Genomic DNA, 19,774 nt, shown 5'->3' with positions numbered 1-19,774 from the left:
TCCTGGGTCACCTCCAAGTCCAGGGCAGGGATCGGAAGCTCCAAAATTGGGAGGAGGGGCAGGGAGGCTTTGAGAAGAGCTGGAGGGATTGGGTAGGGGGCTTGGTGGGCTCAGGATTGCTTTCCTTCTCTACCGTGCCCGTGGCTCTGCGATGGTTAATTTTATGTGTCAGTTTGCCTGGGCTAGGGGTGCTGGTAAAACATTATTCCTGATAGTGTCTGTGAGGGTGTTTCAGGAAGAGATAAACATTTGAATCAGCAGACTGAGGAAAGAAGATCTGCCCTTGCCAGTTTGGGCATGCATCCTCCAATCTGTGGAGGGCCCAGATAGATCAAAAAGGCACAGGAAGGGCAAATTTGCTGTCTCTACTTGAGTTGGGACATTCATTTTCTCCTGCCTTCGGACATCGGTGCTCCTGGTTCTTGGGCCTTTGGACCCTGTCCTCAGGCCTTTAGACTCAGACTGACCGACATGCTAGCTATCCTGGGTCTTCCTCTTGCAGAGAGCAGATCATAAGACTTCTCAGCTTCTGTAATTGTGTGAGCCAATTCCCATAATGAATTTCCTCTGATATATGTGTCCTATCAGTTTTGTTTCTGTGGAGAGGCCTGACTCATACAGGCTCCAGCTCCTTGCCAGGCCTGGGCTCTGTGGGCTGAGACAGCTGGTCCTCTTGGTTCGGGTGTGAGGAAGCCGTGCCTCATCCTGCAGGCTACAGGCAGTAGGTTCCCACTGGCCTGCAGTGTTCTTATTTGGAATTTGGGGTTCGTGTGGTCCTTGATGGAGGCAAGCAAAATCAAACTGCAAATCTGGAACCCAAGGGGCAGCAGAAGTTTCTCTCGAGTGTGTCTCTCCCGTGTGACACTTTCGACTGTTTTGGGGGACACTTAGCAGCTTCATGCTGATGGGGAAGTGAGGCCTCCACTGCTAGTTAGGCCCTCATTAACACAGCCAAAGGAACAGGCAGTATAACTGGGCCCTGGCAGCGGGTGCCAGCGCTGACAGGACAGGCTCTGTCCAAGCCTCAGGGCTTCTGTGACTGCAGCTGAGCCTCTGCCCCGAGCACCTGTCTCTCGTGATGCCCCTTTCCAGCAGGCACCAGGGCCAGGGCCTGCCTTCCTGCACAGTGCAGCCCCTTCCCACCATGGAAGACTCTGCAAGGGACACAGAAGATGTTGCTCTCCTGAGAGCTGTGGATGGATCCTTAGACTAGGACCTTGCTCATGCTTGTATTTTCATTTCTAAACGTTGAGGCTCAAAGCTGTTATTCAGTACAATTTGAAAATAAGCAAAGACGTCATTTTCTTAGCTGGCCCATGCCTGCTCTGCACCAAGTGATGGCAGGGGCAGGGACATTCCGACTGGATGTGTGAGAGGGCTGGGGTCCGGCTGGCCTCTCAGGCATCTTCCCCTGGGAACCATGCCGGCTTCTGTGCTTCCTTTCCTTTGGGAAGTCGTGCTCCTTTTTGAGAATTCTAGGGAAGGCAGTTCCTTCTGCTGGAGCCACTGGGGAATGCTGCATATGTCACAGAACCGTGTCAAGAACACGGGGCCCTGTGAAGGTGCACAACCTGTAGTTTCCTACTCTTATTACCTAAAAACACACATTGTTTGCTCATTTCTCTTGAAGACCAGACCTAACACTGAAGATCTTCCATCAGATTGGCCCCTATGCCTTCATCAGCCTCACTGCATAGTGTACCTGTTTATAGACTTTTTACGCTAACCAAGTAACTGATGAGTCCACATGAATTATGTGTTCCAGCCTCCTGCCTTTGCACACACCACTCTTTGCTGATCTTACTCCTCAGGATCTGAAAACTTTCCTCCAAGTAGCCATCCATGATTGACCTGTGGGGCTTCTAAGCTCTCCTTCCGTTCTATATTATTTGTATTATATTAATTTGTGTTCATCTTGGTTTATACATATTTTCTCCAGGGTTTCGTAGGTGGCACTGTCTCCCCTCTGCGGCTGTGAACACCTGGGAGGGGGCACTGTCCCACATGCTCCTTGCACCTTGCCAACCCCTTCACAGGGCCTAGTGCCCTGCTCAGAATCAGCTTGTGGAATTTGGCAGCCGACTGACTTAGAAAGTTAGGGCAGGTTTTGTTTCTGTTTCAGACAAAAAATAGCCTTGACGTCACCCCCATCCCTTTGGTGACTGTGACTGTGTCTGTCTCTTGATTCATGTTGCTGCTCTCCCTCTCCTCCTGCACCTGCCCCAGCAACTTCACTACCCCTCCTCTTCCATGCAGTCAGATTAGTGAGCATTTCTCCTGCCATGCCTCAGTGGAAAGAACATGCAGTATTATCCTGACAAAATGAAAACAAACCAGCTGTATGGTATTGGGTCAAGATTTACTATTAATACTATACCAATAGAAATGATCACTGGAAATGATATCACCAAATTCTCTACATCAGCAGTCTCCAGCCTTTTGGGCACCAGGGACTGGTTTCATGGAAGACAATTTTTCCATGGACAGGGAGGGGGTGGGGATGGTTTCAGGATGATTCAAGCACATTACGTTTATTGTACACTTTATTTCTGTTATTATTACATTGTACTATATAATGAAATAATTATGCAACTCACCATAATGTAGAATCAGTGGGAGCCCTGAGCTTGTTTTCCTGCAACTGGACAGTTTCATCTGGGGATGATGGGAGATAGTGACGGATCATCAGGCATTAGCTTTTCATAAGGAGCCACAACCTAGATCCTTTACATGCACAGTTTACAATAGGGTTCATGCTCCTATGAGAATCTGCTGCTGCTGCTGATCTGACAGGAGGCAAAGCTCAGGTGGTAACACAAGCAGTGGGGAGCAGCTGTAAATACAGATGAAGCTTCGCTCACTTGCCCACTGCTCACCTCCTGCAGTGCGGCCTGATTCCTAACAGGCCATGGACTGATACTGGTCGGTGGCCTGGGGGTTGGGAGCCCCTGCTCTGGATTCTAATATGTGAAAACAAGGTGTTGCAGTTTTATGGAGAAGGGAGAACTGGCTGTGTGGCAAAACATTGTTAGGTCCTCACCTAATATCATACACAAAAATAAGTTTCCTATGGATTAAAAAGTAAAAGCATAAATATACTGTTAAGAAATATGTATGATCATGTAACTGATCCCAAGACAATAATAGTAGTAATAATGGCAGCTGTATTAGGTATCAAATGCTGTGTAACAAACTATTCCAGAACATAGTGGCTTCTACCAGCAACTACTTACTCAGTGGGTGATTTGGGTTGGAAATTCAGGCTGGGCTTGGCTGGGTGGCTCTCTTTGCTGAGCTCATTCATGGTCGTGCATTGATGGCCTCACATGGTTAGTATGGCTTGCCTGTAAGCTGGGGCGGGCAGGGGTGATGGGCTGCATTGTCAGGATGGCTGCCTGTAAACTGGGGTGAGCAGGGGTGATGGGCTTTGTAGTCTCATCCCCCAGCAGGCTGGGCTTCTTCACATGGAGACAGCAGAGTTTCAGGAGTTGTAAGAGGCAGGCTCCTGTGTGTAGGTGACTTCACGTTTGCCACAGCTCCATTGGTCAGAGCAAATCACACAGTCAAGCTGAGCTACCCCAGGTGGAGACGGATTTCCTCTTTCCATGGGAGGACTGTCAACGTGTTAGGCCTTTTTTGTGTGATCTGCCACAGCCACTGTTCTAAGTGCTTTACGTGTATAATGCATTAGTAATCTCCTGCTGCATAGCAAATCACCCTTAAATGTAGCAGTTTACAGCAACGAATGTGTATTACTTCCCAGTTTTGTGGGCCAGGAATCTTGGCACAGCTTTGCAGGTTGCCTCTGGCTGAGGATCTCACTAAGTGTTGGCTGGAGCTGCGTCATCTCCAGGGACCACTGGGGAGTATCTACCTCCAAGCTCACTCCGTGGCTGTTCGCAGGCCCTGGCCCCTGCTGGCTGGACCTGCAGGGATCACATGTGAATGCCATTATAGGAGGTGGGGGGCATTGGGGCCATCTCTGAGGCTGTGTGCCACATACTAACTATATGGATTAAATGCATTCTCATTATCCTGCACGTTCAATCAAGGAAATTGAGGCAAAGAGAGGGTCACTGAGATAGTGAGTGGGGGAGCTGAGTCTGGATCCCAGGCTGAAGGGCCATGACACTCTACTTGCAATGGAAGTCATAATAAGGGGAAAGATTGATACAATTGACCACACATCCATTAGCATCCTGTGTGTGTCAAACAGCATCAACAGAATTGGTAAATCAGGACATACGCTGTCCACCTGCCAATCCATCCCTATTATACTAAAAGCAGTCATAAATCAATAAGAAAACATTAACATCAAATGGAAAAAATCTGCAGTGGACTCTAGTTGGCAAGTCACTGAAGAAAAATAAAAGGCAAATAGAAAAGTACCAAACCTCACAAGTAATCAGAGAAATGCAAATTTAAAAAATTCTTTTTTGTTTTTGGGTCCACCAAACTGGTGCAGTCTCATAATTATTCTCAGTATGGGTGAGTGCTGGAGGATGAATACTCTCATACTCCAGTGGAGGAAATGTCAAGTGATGGAACCTTCTGGAAAAGAAGTGTTTGTGACCTTTGACTCAATCATCCTCTTTCTAAGGGTTTATATTAAAATCGGAGATGTCAGTATCATTTGTATGTAAAGAGACTCACTGAAGCTTTACTTATCATAGTTGAAAATTGGATGCAGCTTGAATATCTTAATAATAGCAGGGTGGTTATACTATGTCATTCCCAGATTCTGTGGCCATTAAAACCGTGCTTTCAAAGAATATTCAGTGGCCTGGAGAAGGTCTCATGTTATTTTAAATGAACACAGCAAGATTCCTGCTATACAGTAGGATTCCAATTTTGTACAATGTGCATGTACAAAAAAAAAGTCTGATTGGAAACACATCAAAATATTAGCAGCAGTGGTTATTTCCTGGTGGTGATATACGTTATTTCTTTTCTTCTTTTCTGTGTGTTCTCCACTTCCTTCCTTGAGGATGTATTATTGAGATAATTGGACAAGAAATCAACAGGAAGTGTGCAGCCCAGCCCAGGGCACTCTGGCCGGTGGGGGTGTCTATGCTCTGTATTTGCTGGGGCAAAGCTAGCAGGTCCTCCCCAGGCCTTCTGTGCAGACCTCTGCGAAGAATCCTGCTCAGCAGTAGATATTTATTGTATTTTAATATCAGGGCCAAAAGCTACAGTTCACTTTTCAGTTAAGTAAATGTGTGCTTTTCATCCCTGGGTTAGTACACTGCTTGTGAGGCACAGTCCTCCTCCCCTCCGCCACTTCCAGGACAGGGCTGTGAAATTGTCCTGCCGTGCCTTGCAGCACCGTGATCACTGCACCACAGTAACAGTCCTACCGGCCTCTGAGGCTTAAGTGCAGATTCTTAAGAAGTTATTACATTCTCTCCCCCTGCACCGGGGTGTTCAGTGAAGGCCGGTGACTGTGGTGTGGCATTGGCAGGCCACTAAACAGCCGGGAAATTTCTGATCTCCTTTTTTATTGTGATAGAAGACTATTTGTGGTCAGTTGCCTCGAGGTGATTTTAGAAAGGGCAGGAAGCAGGGAGGCATTTCCTTTCATGTTTGCTCGTTACTTGGCTCTGCCTCCTCCGGTTTAATTTCCTCTCGGCCTCTCTCAGCTTTTCCACTCATTTCTGCCTGCTTGTCCTGCATCCCCTGCCGCTCAGCCGGCCTGACCAGGTCTCCTGAGGCCTTCTTTCTCTTCCTCCTGCCCCTCCACTGGGATATGGCTGCTCTTTACTCCCCCCAACCCCCCACCCTCTGCTTTTGGGTTTTGCTTTAAGTGTTATGTTGAGACACCAGTTAAATATATTCCTTCAGATATGAGAAATGCATTCTGTATTTTAAAGATGAGAGAGCTCCCAGTAGCAGAAAAGACGTGGATTTGGGCAGCATGCTTGCAGAAGCATCTCTGGAGCCTGGAGCGCAGACTCACACCTACCCTGTGACGCTAAAGGATTCCCGTCTGTTCTTCTTAAGAATCTGCACTTAGGACTCAGAGGCAGGTAGGACTGTGACTGTGGTGTGGTATAATTGTCTCTGATAGGCCAGATACTACCAAGAAAACAGAAGCAGATGAAACAGCCAAGCAGCCCGTGTTCTGCTTATTCGCCACATCACATTAGTTGAGCCCCATTCCATACCATGTGGCATGAGGCCTCCTTCCTGGTGTTTCAGAGGCTTCTGGGAGCTGACGAGGGTGAAGGGCTATGGCTTCCCTTCTCTGGTTACTGCTTGCCCCAAATCCCTGCTCTCTCAGGATTCCCAATATCCACTTCCCCTCTTGCCTGCTCTGGGATGGGGAATGGGAGATGGGGGTGGGTGAGGGGCTGTCAGCACCAGGTGCCAGTGCTGCTGAGAAAGCAGATGGTTGTGGGTAACACTAGAGGCCACTCATCATTTGTGCCTTAGTGTCAATAAAGTGTGTGTTAAACATTTCTGGGTTTGGCTTAGGGAATTAATTGAGAGTTGTCTATATAGAAAAGTGTGTAAAATGTGGCTTAGAAAACATGCATTTTAAATGAGTAAAAGTTAACAATATAAAAAGGCATTTGATGGTCTAGAACATTTTTTTCAGGAAAAAGGTTTTAAAACCCTTTAGTGAATACACATTTACTTAACTGAAAAGCGAACTGTAGCTTTTGGCCCTGATATTAAAATACAATAAATATCTACTGCTGAGCAGGATTCTTCGCAGAGGTCTGCACAGAAGGCCTGGGGAGGACCCTCTGGCTTTGCCCCGAGCGTTGCCTCCAAGCTAGGCTTGCCAGTGAGCAGGACTTGCAGGGGGGTGGGGCCCCTAAGGTCACTGGGATGAGCAGGACAGTGGCTGTGATAGGAGTGGTGGCCCCTCGAGGGAGCCCTGCAAGGTTCCGGTGGGGAGGGGGCTTCGCTGCCTGCAGTCTTAATTCCTCACTGATAGTGAAGACCCTCCCGTGGTGGGCAGAGGGGAGCTGCTGGGCTGTTCTTGAACCATCCTTTCATGCATTTCAGTCACGCCCCGAGTCATCCACAGCTGCCCTGACCTCTGCCTGCTCTCTGTGTCCCTGTATGGACTTGCCTGACTTGTGACTGGCCCCTCTCAGCCCCTCGCGCCCCCGACATGAGCTCTCTGTGACAGTGGTCTGGGAGTGCCTTTTCTCTGTGGGGTCGGTGTGCTGTGTCTGCAGATGCTCAGCTGAGCCACCTGCTGGCCTGGTCCTGCAGACTCCTGTGGGAGAGGCGAGAAGGGGTGGGGAAGGATGTGGAGAAGTCCAGGGTACCTAACAGGCGAGAGGCGAGGGCCGAGGGCCGAGGGCCGGCCAGAGAGCTGCCACCCCCCATCATCAGCGAAGGACCAGGGAGACCGGGGCACTCTTTCTAGACCCCATAGGGATTGGGGTGGGGCCACCAGAGGCTCAGTGGGAACAACTGCAGGGAGTGGACAGTTACTCTTACTTATTTGGAGCTGTTAACACTTCTTTTTTTTTAACCTTTATTTTAGGTTCAGTGCAGGTTTGTTATACAGGTAAATTCGTGACTTGGGGGTTTGGTGTACAGATTATTTCCTCACCTGAGTACTAAGCATAGTACCCAACAGTTTTTTTTTTTCCTGAATCTCTCTCTCCTCCCACCCTCTTCTCTCAAGTAGGCCCCAGAGTCTGTTGTTCCCCTCTTTCTGTCCATGTGTACTCATTGTTTAGCTCCCGCTTTTAAGTGAGAACATGCAGTATTTGGTTTTCTGTTCCTGCATTAATTTGCTAAGGATAATGGCCATCTATGTTCCTTTGCAGGAACATCATTCTTTTTAATGGCCGCATCATATTCCATGATGTATATGTACCACATTTTCTTTACCCAGTCTACCATTGATGGGCATTTAGGTTGATTCAGTGTCTTTGCTATTGTGAATAGTGTTGCAGAGAGCATATGCATGCATGTGTCTTTATGATAGAATGATTTATATTCCTTTGGGTTTATCCTCAGTACTAGGATTGCTGGGCTGAATGGTAATTCTGTTTTTAGCTCTTTGAGGAATTGCCACACTGCTTTCCACAATGATTGAACTAATTTACACCCCCACCTGCAAAGCAAGCAGTGGGGAAAGGGCTCCCTATTCAATAAATGGTGCCGGGATAGCTGGCTAACCATAGGCAGAAGACTGAAACTGGGCCCGTTCCCTTCACCATATACAAAAATCAACTGAAGATGGATTAAGGACTAAAATGTAAAAACCCAAAACTATAAAAACCCTGGAAGATAACCCAGGAAATACCATTTTGGACATGGAAACTGGCAAAGATTTCATGACAACACCACCAAAAGCAAAAATTGACAAATGGTACATAATTAAGGAGCTTCTGCACAGAAAAGAAACTATCAATAGAGAAAACAGGCAGCCTACAGGATGGGAGAAAATATTTGCAAACTATGCATCTGACAAAGGTCCAATATTCAGAATCTACAAGGAACTTAAACAAATGTACAAGCAAAAAACTAAGAAACTCATTAAAAAGTGGGCAAAGGACATGAACAGACACTTTTCCAAAGACATACGTGCAGTCAACAAGCCTATGAAAAAATGCTCAATATCACTTATCATTAGAGAAATGCAAATCAAAAGCACAATGAAATACCATATCACACCAGTCAGAATGGCTTCTATTAAAAAGTCAAAAAACAACAGGTACCGGTGAGTTTGTAGAGGAAAGGGACTGCTTAAACACTTCTTAATACAAGTAAATATTAGGATTTCCCAATTTCACCATAATGTGAATGTGTATTTAAAAGATAGAGAATTATAGTACTCTACAAAATGTTTGTCTAATTAAAACCATGAAGTGGACCTTTGAGGATGAGAAAAATAAAGTCTTGAGTCTTAAGCTGCCACATTGTTCTGTTAACAAGTTTGGTGTAATTTTGTTGTAACAAACTTCTATTTTCTTCTTTAATATTAAAGTTTTTGTCTTGTTCATCTTACTCTGCTTATTCTTCTGTGCTTCAGAGTGGTTCTTTAGTGTGACTAACATGTTGGTTATTTATTCTGCTGAGGTTTTTGTCCTATAAAGGACATAAAGGGTGATCATTCACATTCATCACATTCCGAAAGCAGAGAAGGGTAGGTATTTGTGCCTGCACTTCACCTGCCAAGCTCCTTCTTCTTCCTGTCCCTGTCTTTCTATCCAGTCAGTGATCAAGCCTTCATCTTCCACCTCCCTGGGCCTCCCCAAGCTGACCCCTGTCAGCACCATGGCCAGCACCTCAGCTCAAACACATCGTTTCATGGAGGTTGTCCTGTCCCTGGTTGCTTCTTTCTCTGAGCTTCTCCTAGTTTGGATGTCACACCTGCCTTCAGATGTCTCTTTATGCTGCCTTGCCTCCTTTGAGCTTGGCAGCTTCACAGAGACCCCTCTGTTCTCATTAGGTCAGTTTCCCTGATTAAGGGAAAAGCTGAGTCTGGCAATTAAGCTTTAAATGTCCACTACTCTTTCTTTCTCATTCAGACCATTCTTCAGTGATCGCAACATTCTCTCTTAACTCTTTTGAGCCATTTCATGTAGATGCAGTAACAGTGTTTGTTTCTAAGGAAGGAGGTGCTCCATCCCAGGCTGGAGACCTTCAGGCCAGGGGTTGGGAAGAGACCCCTGGTTGGAGCTGCAGGTGAAATGTGTTCTTGGAATCAGGCTCCTAGACCCAGGGGCTCCAAGACCCAGATTTCATTTGTATCTTTTATACTTTCAGATTGATTTTTCAAAACTAATTTAAAATAATACAAGATATTTAGAAAACAGGATGGAAAAAGCTGGATTAAATTTGATTCACCTGGTTGAGCAATCTAATTTCCATCTCTACCGATGTGATGTGATATTTATCATATGGAAGAGTTTTCAAAAGCTCTTGCATGTGAACTGTATTATTATTGATTTGAAAAATTTAGCCTCTGCATTATTGGTTCGTCTCGATTTGTTCTTGAAACAAACCTTGTGGTCAGTTGATGGTTTCTCTGCCTCACAGTAAGTATGACACTTAGTTTCATAGGTTAGTGTCAACATTCAGTACTAGGACACTGTAGAAAACAGTCGCTTAAGTGCATTTAGGGTACAGTACAGTGAGGGCTTTATGACCTGGGCATGGTTTTAAGCAACAGGCAGTCAGAGCTGTCCTGGGTACTCATCCTGACGTTCTGGAAGTAGGTGAATTCCAGTTATGAAGATACTTGTATCAGGACTGAATGTTTGGGAGATATCTGCCAGGGAGATTCTTGAAGGTCAGTGGTGTGTCTTCGTTTTAAATCCACAGAATCCCATCATAGGTGAAGCACTGGAGCCCATTGAGGCTCCCTCCCCGAGGTGCTGTTGTAGGAGGGCTTGTGTCAACGGAGAATGGTGACCCACCTATAGGCCACTGTTTTTCAAGATGCTCACCTGGTAGCATTAATTAGAAAGGAGAAAGATCTTGTTGGGCTTATTAAGTTCAAAAAAATTTAAATAATTGGAAATTGCTTAAGCCCTTTTTTTTTTGAGACAGAGAGTCTCGCTCCATCACCCAGGCTAGAGTGCAGTGCTAGAGTGCACTCAATCCCGCTCACTGCAGCCTCCACGTCCCGGGTTCAAGTGATTCTCCTGCCTTAGCCTCCCAAGTAGGTGGGATTACAGGCACTTGCCACCACGCCCAGCTAATTTTTTTTGTATTTTTAGCAGAGACGGAGTTTCACCATGTTGGCCAGGCTGGTCTTGAACTCCTGACCTCAGGTAATCCACCTGCCTTGGCCTCCCAAAGTGCTGGGATTACAGGGGTGAGCCACCACGCCCGGCCAAGCCCATTTTTTAAAGTAAATTTAAAAATATTCAAAGCCAGGTGGGAAGGTCACTTGTGCCCAGGAGTTCGAGACCAGCTTGGGCAACATGGCGAGACCCCCATCTCTACGAAAAAAAAAAAAAAATCAGCCAGGTCTGGTGGCATGCACCTGTAGTCCCAGTGGCATGCACCTGTAGTCCCAGCTACTCAGGAGGCTGAGGTGGGAGGATGGCTTAAGCCCAGAGGTTGAAGCTGCAGTGAGCTGCGATTGTGCCACTGCACTCCAGCCTGGGCAACAGAGTGAGACCCTGTCTCAAAGAAAATAAAAAAATTCAACCTTTTGCATGGGATGTGAAGGACTAGCCCAGTCAGACACACAGGAGCTGGGAAGCAGCCTCAGCCTGGCGAAGACTGTGCTATGCAGAGCTCCCTGTACTCTGTTTTTTATGAGTAAAGGCATGCCCACTGATCAGCAGAGGTGGTAGAAGGGGCCTGTTCTCATCTAATCCCAGAATGACTTCTTTTCTCCATGGAAATCTTAGCATTCTTGATTCATTGTGCTTTAAAGGTTGGACTTTCTTTTTTGATTTATTGGATTACAGTCCCAATTTTTAATATTCAATTAAAATATTTTAATTAAAAATTATTTGATTTGTGTTTTAAATAACAAAAGGAATTTGCTTGCTGTAAGAATTTGTGGTTGGCTGAATAGTGACCCCCCTCCACAAAGATGTCCATGCCTTAATCCCTGGAACATGTTAGGTTATGTGGTAAAGGGGAATTAAGGTTGTGGATGGAATTAAGATTGCTGGTCAGTTGACCTCGAAAAGGGATGTAATCCTGGATTATCTGGGTGAGAGAAAGTCCCATAAGTGGAAGAGGGAGGCAGAAGAGGAGAATCAGAAGGAGGTGTGACTGCAGAAGAATGGCTCAAGAGATACCATGCTCCTGGCTCTGGAAGTCAGGAATGGAGGAAGGTGGCTGACAACCAAGGAATGTGGGTCACCTCTAGGAGTGGGAAAAGGCAGGATAATGGATTCAGCCCTAGAGTCTCCACAGGGAGACCTGTTTGGGACTTCTAACCTACAGAAATGCAAGATCATAAATTTGTGTTGCTTTAAGCTGCTGACTTTGAGGTAATTTGTTGTGGCAGCCATACAAAACTAATGCACAGGTGAAACAGTATACACGTATATCAAGAAAAAGCCATGATCTCACTCCCCACCCCATGGTGCCACTGGGGACCGAGGCTCCTCCTCCTTTCTGCTGGCCAACTTTGGCATGTTGGCTTTGCTCTGTGCGTATTGTCTCAGGATTACTGCAGGGCTTCTATTTCTCCAAGTAGCGTGTCTGTCTTCCAGGCAGCAAGAATTGGAAACAGAAACGTGGGGAACCTGTTCCAGGAAAAAAAAACCTTCCAAGAACCACCTAGCAGACTTCCCCCCTCACCTCTTTAGTCTGAATTGGGTCACATGGCCACTCCTAAGCCAGTGTGGTCTGGGAAAGGAGTGTTAGTTGGTGTCTTAGTCCGTGTGGGGTTGCTATAACAAAATGCCTTAGAGTCGGTAGCTTAAAAACAACAGGCATTTATTGCTCACAGTTCTGGAGCCAGAAGTCCAAGATCAAGGTGCTGGCAGATTCAGTGTCTGAGGAAGGCCTGCTTCCTTCTGCATCATGCCTTCTTGCTGTGTCCTCACTTGGTGGAAGGGGCGAACTAGCTCTCTTCGGCCTCTTAATTTATAAGGGCACTGTTCGAGATATAGAAAAACACAGTTTTTCCAGCCCTCACTCTCAATAATTTAGAATGCTTCTCTGGTCGCCCAGATGTGTGTGGGATGTTTTCCCATACAGCAAGCAATTCTCCAGCAGACATCAGCTGGGTGTCCTCTAAGTCAGTTCAGTCCTGACACTGTCTGCCTGGAATTCGCATCAGATCCCACAGGTTGAGGGCTCAGATGCTTCCACTCTAGATGGCAGTTGCAAATCCCAGGTTGTGATCTGTACCTCTGACTGATGGTCTATAAATTGGGGTTCTCACAACTCCCTTCTCCAGGAGTGGGATGGCTGGCATGGCTCAAGAACTCAGGGAAACATTCTTGCTTACATTTACCCAATTATTATAAAGGATATTACAAAGGATACAGATGAACAGCCAGATGGAGGAGATGCACAGGGTAACCTCTTATTTGTGGAAAGGGGTGTGGAGCTTTCTCTGGGCGCCACCCTCCAGGAACCTCCATGTGCTCAGCAACTGGAAGCTCTCCAAATCCAGTTATTTTAGGTTTTTATGGAGGCATCATTGCATAGCTTGATTGATTACATCATTGGTTGTTGGGTGATTAACTCAACCTTTGGCCCCTCTTCCCTTCCCTAAGGTGAGGGGTGGTGGTGGGATTGTGGGCCTGAAAGTTCCAACGCTCTAATCACAGGGTTGGTTCACTTGGCAATCAGCCCCCATCCTGAGGCTGTCCAGAAGCCCCTCACTACCACTCATCTTATTAGCACACAAAAAGACACATCACCTTGGAGATTCCAAGTGTTAGGAGCTGCATGCCAGGAAACAAGAAGAGCAGATATATATTTCTTCTTGTAAATCCCAGTATCTCGCACTAATTCCATTCATGAGGGCTCCACCGTCATCACCAAATCACCTCCAAAAGCTCCACCTCCTAATACAATCACATTGGGTGTTAGGATTTCAACATAGGAATTTTGGGGGGACCCAAACATTTAGACCATAGCAGTTGGGCACATTGCCACCCCAACACATCTGCTATTCTATGAGGAAGCAAGGTGTCAGTATTGGGCTGGCAGCCCTGTTTCTTTTAGTCTTTGTCCACAGTCTGATACATCCATCCTTAAACCTTATTGGTACCTGCACTTCCTCCCTTTTCTAGAGCCAGGGTCTCAGCCTGAGTGGCCGTGGACCGCCTGCCAGTGCCCCCCTCCAGGGACTGTGGAGCCTCTCTAGCCATCTTCATCTCAGGGCTTGTCCAGTAGACCACGCATTTGTGAAAGGAAAATGAAATCTGCCGGCCAGGTGTGATGGCTCACACCTGTAATCCCAGCACTTTGGGAGGCCGAGGTGGGCGGATCACAAGGTCAGGAGTTCGAGACCAGCCTGGCCAATATGGTGAAACCCCGTCTCTACTAAAAATACAAAAATTAGCCAGGCATGGTGGTGGGCGCCTGTAGTGCCAGGTATTCGGGAGGCTGAGGCAGGAGAATCGCTTGAACCTGGGAGTCGGAGTTTGCAGTGAGCTGAGATCAAGCCACTGCACTCCAGCTTGGGTGACAGAAAAGAAAAAAAAAAAGAAAAAAAAGAAAAAAAGAAAAAAAAGAAGGAAGCTGTGGACCCCAGACTCACTATGCCAAAGGGAAAGTTAAGCTTGAGAACTGAGTCATGCAAAAAACCACTTTCCTTTTTATCCCGCACCCCGCAACGGATAGCCGTGATTTCACATGCTTGCTTATATAAAATGTAGATTTGCTGAGCCTGAGAAGAATGCATACTTGGCTTTTCCCCTATCCCCTTCTTTTCTCTTTCTCTTTCTTTCTTTCTTTCTTTCTTTCTTTCTTTCTTTCTTTCTTTCTTTCTTTCTTTCTTTCTTTCTTTCTTTCTTTCTTTGTCTGTCTTTCTTTCTGTCTGTCTTTCTTTCTGTCTGTCTTTCTTTCTGTCTGTCTTTCTTTCTTTTTGAGACGGAGTCTTGCTCTGTCGCCCAGGCGGAGTGCAGTGGCGCGATCTCGGCTCACTGCAAGCTCCACCTCCCAGGTTCACGCCATTCTCCTGCCTCAGCCTCCTGAGTAGCTGGGACTACAGGCGCCCACCATCACGCCTGGCTAATGTTTTCTATTTTTAGTAGAGATGGGGTTTCACCATGTTAGCCAGGATGGTCTCGATCTCCTGACCTTGTGATCCACCCGCCTCCCCCTCCCAAAGTGCTGGGATTACAGGTGTGAGCCACCGCGCCCGGCCCCTTCTTTTTATATGTAAGATGCAGATTCACTGAATGCCAATCAAAGCCTCCGAGGATGTAACCACTTGCCTCATGGGCACCCCTCTCTCCTTTTCCCCTCCTGCTTGCTCTTTCTCAGACCCCTCTTTGGAGAAAAGCCCAGGCCGCAGACCCTACTGTAACTTGTGTTTCTTTTGCTTGGGTACATCCCAACCTTGGCAAAATAAACCTCTAAAGGATTGAGCTCTGCCTCGGACACTTCTTGGGGCACACCCTCATGCTCACTTATCCAGCCCCCAGTGGGCGAGAAACACCCACCAGACCCGTGGGCCCCATGGGATGTTCAGTGTCATGGTTTCCTGGTGGGCTAGTGTATAATTACTTAATCCTGCTCCTTGGCTATTTCCTAATGTACTCATCCCCAAGGTAGGGCCTCTTCCCTGGATTTCTGGTGTTTTGGAACGCCGGGCATCTTTGGATGTCAGCACAGGGAGAGGTTCCTGGGCTTTGGAGGGTCTGGTAGGAACCTTGTCTTCCCACTGCATAAGGTGGGTGGGGAATGTTGGAAGGATTCCAATGACAGTGGTGCTGTAGGGCCCCTCCTTTTGGCTTTTACATGTGGGACAAGGAGGCTGGTGAGCAACTTCCACTGAAGAGTGACCACAGGAGTGGTGACAAATGTAGAGGCCAAGGGCCAGAACCTTTAGAAACCTGTTGCTCTGTTCCAGCAAGAGGTACCTGAGGACCTCACAGGTGCCGATCATAAATCTGCACTGTATCTCAGCATGAAAACATGCGGCTTCCCTCCTTCGCAGAGACGCTGTCTTTGGTTTGAAAGGGCTGGGACAGAGAGAGGATTGGTCCCTGCCCCTGGTTTCTGTCCAGTGAGGACTGAGGCTGTGCCCTGACAGTGCTGTTTTGGGAGCAGGCACCTCTGGGGGCTCTAAGGGAGGCTTTGTTATGTGAACAGATCAAGTGTGTGGTTTTAATTGGGGAGGGTAAAGTATGGATAGTGAGCAGTGCCAGCATTGCTGACAAGTGCAAACAGCCTTTTCATCTTCTGTTTTTCCCATTTTAAGAGGCCCCGAGAGCCCCATCGCTGAGGCTGACTTTCCAGGTCGGGGGGCACGGGGACCCTCCATATTATTGATGTGCCCTCCAATCAGGCCACTGGAGCCTCTTTGGCCAGGTGGGCTCTCGAGGGAATGAGAGGAAGTGACAGCATGCCCTGATTTGGGGCTGTGTGTGCCCTGATGGGGGCTTCCCTGGAACATGTGTTTTCCTGATGATTGGGACAAGTTGCAGAACAGAACTGGTTCTCGGCAGAGTACTCTGCCCACAGAGTTCCCCCTCTTTGATATGAAAAATAAAACGTGATTTCTCCAAGAATAAAAATTAGAATCAGGGTTGTGTTCCCTTTTTACACTCCTTAGAGCCTCTGATCATTTCCAGCCAAGGAGCATGCGGCTGTGTTTCCCAAAGATAGTTGCACACGGTCTTCCCAAGTCAGAGTAGCTTGCTGGAGGCACAACCCAGTCTTTACCCAGATGGCGATGGGGTGGTTCGAATAGTTGGTTTGGAAAATGATCTCCACTCTGACCCCATACCAGTTTTTATAACGCTTATCTGATTTTGAACATACTCTGTTCCTGGTGCTTCCTACCCATCTATTAACAAGGGGTCCGTGCTGGGAGGGTCACTGTGTGCAAACGCTTCCATTAGGAATCCCAGTGAGGAGGCTTTTCCTTTCCCTTGGTGCTTCAGGGGGACAACAGCAACAGAGGTTATAAAACAAGGAGCATAGATGCTGGAGAGGAATTGGGAGGGAGGGATGGAGAGAGAACTGGGTTGGTATTGGCTGTCCTGACTTTGAGAGGCTCATGGGAAATGTTGGGTGGACACATGGGTGTGGTGTCTGGAGCTCAGCAGATGGGCCTGGACTGGAAAGGAAGACTCAGAGCCATCACCACAGAGATGGCGGTGAGCTATGAAAGTGCGTGAGCTCACCTGGGCAGATGAGGAGGGACAGAACCCCAAGGACTCCACCATATGACAATGCCAGCAAAGAAACCAAGAAAAAACTGGTGATGGTGTAGATGGAGTCAGGAAGCAATACAGGGCAATTTGGGGGGATTATATGGGATGATGCATGTAAATACTTGTGTAATTTCTGATAATGGTAGTAGATGTTCAGTAAGTGGAATTAAAAAAATATCGTCTATATGCATATATGTACATAAATGCACACCCAGTATAATTCATAACGTATATTCTCACACACACACACGTGCGCATAACTGTCCCTCAACAATTGCAGAACGAGAGCTGGGGAGCAGCGGGCTTAATGCTGTAGAAGTTGGTTAGCAGTGTCAAATGCCATGGAGTTCTGAGAATGGGTGATGGGATTGGGCATTTGGGGGATTATTAGTCACCTTCGTATGACTACCACCATCCATCCACAGAACGCTTTTCATCTTCCCCAACTGAAACTCTGTATCCAGTCACCATTCAACACGAATTCCACATTCCCTCCTCTCCCCAGGCTCTGGCAACCACCACTCTACTTCCTGTCTCTAAGAATTTGACTACCGTAGGTACCTCACAGAAGTGGAGTCACACATATTTGTCCTTTTGTGATCGGCTTATTTTGCTCAGCACAGTGTCCTCAGGGTCCATCCATGTTGTGGCATGTGTCTGAATTTCCTTTCAAGGCTGAATAACACTCCATTGTGTGGATGGACTCCATTTTATCAATGCACGCATTTGTGGATGGACACTTGGTTTGCCTCCACCTTTTCACTATTGTGAGTAATGCTGCCGTGAACATGGGGGTACACATGCCTCTCCCTTCTTTTGTTCTTTTGGGTATATACCCAGAAGTGGAATTGCTGGATCATATGGTCATTCTGTGTTTAATGTTTTGAGGAACTGAGGAACGTTCTTTTTTGGGATGGGGAGACAGTGTGGCTGTGTTTGCTCATGGGTGGGAGGACTGAGTAGAGACAGAGTGGAGGCAGGGGAGGGGATAACCCCTGGAGCGGGCCCTGGAGGAGCCAGTGGTGCTGGGATTCAGGAAAAGGAGGGAGAGCGATGATGGCAGCCCTGAGGCAGAGGATGGTGACAGTGGAAGAGGCAGGGAGGCCCCTTGTCATCCTGGGCCCAGCCGACCCTGTGGTGAGAGGCAGGACGGGAACCACAGGTGAATTGAGTATGATTGAGGAACAGGAACACACAGAATGGCAGCTGAGCTAACGTTGGAAACTGGATATTTGTGGTGACATTAATTGCGGTTTTCTCCAGTAAGATGTGGAAACCTGGGAGTAACCATTTTCTTCATGCTAATGTTGGAAACGAGTGAGGGTTGTAATTTTATAGGTGAAAAGTTAACTCAAGTCTACTGCAGAAAATTTTATGATCAATGCATACTATTCTATGATATGCAGAATAAAAAATATTTCCCCACATGTAGGATGATGCAAAAATGATGTGCTTTGGCTGGTATCTGGCATTAGAACAGGAAAAGGAAGTGAGGGGACTCCTGTATTAATCATTTAACACAGAAGCGGGGAGTTGCTCAAAAATCAGCATCTCATGTAACCATCATACATTTGTCAAAACTAAAAATAACTAAACTACAGACTTTTTTGGGATTTCACCAATTTTTCTACTAATGGTCTTTTTATCCAGGGTACCATGTTTCATTTAATCATCATATCTCTTGAATCTCCTCTAATCTCAGTTTCTCAGTCTTTCCTTGTTTTTCATGACCTTGACACTTTGAAGTATATGGATCAGGTATTTTGTAGAATATCCCTCAATTTGGGTTTGTCTGATGCTTTCTCATTGTTAGACTGGAGTTACGAATATGAGGAAGACCACCACAGAGGTAAGGTACCCCCCTCATCACATCATATCATGATGTCAACATGTGACTTACTACTGGTGAGTTAACCTTGATCACCTGGCCAAGCTGGTGTCTGCCAGATGTCTCCTCTGTGAAGTCACCATCTTTCCCCTCCCTTACTCCTTGTTAGAAGCCAGTCACTAAGTTCAGCCCACACTCAAGAGGAGGAGGATTAAGCTTTGCCTCCTGGGGGAGAGCGTGTCAAAGAATTAGTGGACGTGAGTTAAAGCCATAGTGATTAATAAATATTCTGGGGGAGATACTTCCAGGCCTTGCAAATGTCCTGTTTCTTCTTAAAATTTCAAGCACTGATGTTAGCATTCTAGAGTGGATCTGGGCCCAGCAGCAATCACCCTGGTGTTCTGGGGGTGACTTTCTGTTTCCCTCCTTTGTTTTTCACATTTCTGATTTGGAATTCTTTTTTAAGGAAAATTGGTCTCTTCCTCCATTGTTAATTTAGTCATTGTGACATTAATATGGACTCCTGTCTATTTATTTTGGCCTTTAGGTTGTAATTCAATAGTGTGGGTATTTATTTTGTTGCTCAAGTTATTTGACCTTTGGCCATTTGGCTCCTGCTTCATCTTCTCCCACCCTCTACTGTTTGTGTGTGTGTGTGTGTGTGTGTGTGTGTGTGTGTGTGTGTGTGTGTGTAATTCCAATTTTCTAGCACTATAAGATGCTCCTGGTTCATCTTACATTCTGATGCTTTCCCTGCCCCTACCATCAGCTGCTTATGTGTTTCTCCTTTTATCAGAGAATGTCCTCCCATAGCTCAGAGTGATTGGATCGTCTGAAGCCTTGGTATTAGAAAACCAGGGTGCTAGTTGAGCTCCTTACTATTGGGTATCATTGCTTCTATGCTCTATTAGGGGACAGAACTAGGAAATATATGTATTGCCAGTTCTCATCATTTGCAGCAGTTTTGTTTTATGAAGTCATCATGGATACTCAGTTAGTGAATACTGAGCCATTGCCTTCAGGGGAAATACACATGTACATGGTTAAGTTCCTGTTGCCTCTGGCCTCATTTTCCTCAACTGGTTAGTACATAACCTTGTTTCATGTGTGTTTCTGTTTAACCTGTTTGACCTGTTCCTCTGTCTCATGGCATGCA

The 19,774-nt window shown here is 46.6% G+C and overlaps 1 protein-coding gene across 7 annotated transcripts in view, besides 1 other annotated feature; it reads left to right on the top strand.

Moving 5' to 3' along the window:
- The window catches only part of ENTREP2 (endosomal transmembrane epsin interactor 2), a 557,698-nt gene that overhangs the window by 216,814 nt on the left and 321,110 nt on the right, over positions 1-19,774 (top strand). The window lies entirely within an intron of this gene.
- Positions 9,144-9,344: a silencer, noted in NCBI's record as "peak2283 fragment used in MPRA reporter construct". NCBI's record gives its function as "represses an SCP1 promoter by STARR-seq MPRAs in K562 erythroleukemia cells {active_cell/tissue: K562}" and the evidence as "EXISTENCE:reporter gene assay evidence [ECO:0000049][PMID:32103011]".

Source organism: Homo sapiens, chromosome 15, assembly GCF_000001405.40.
Source record: "Homo sapiens chromosome 15, GRCh38.p14 Primary Assembly".
NCBI lineage: Eukaryota > Metazoa > Chordata > Mammalia > Primates > Hominidae > Homo > Homo sapiens.
The sequence above is the reverse complement of the archived record's forward strand: the minus strand, read 5'-3'. Positions and strand labels throughout refer to the sequence as shown.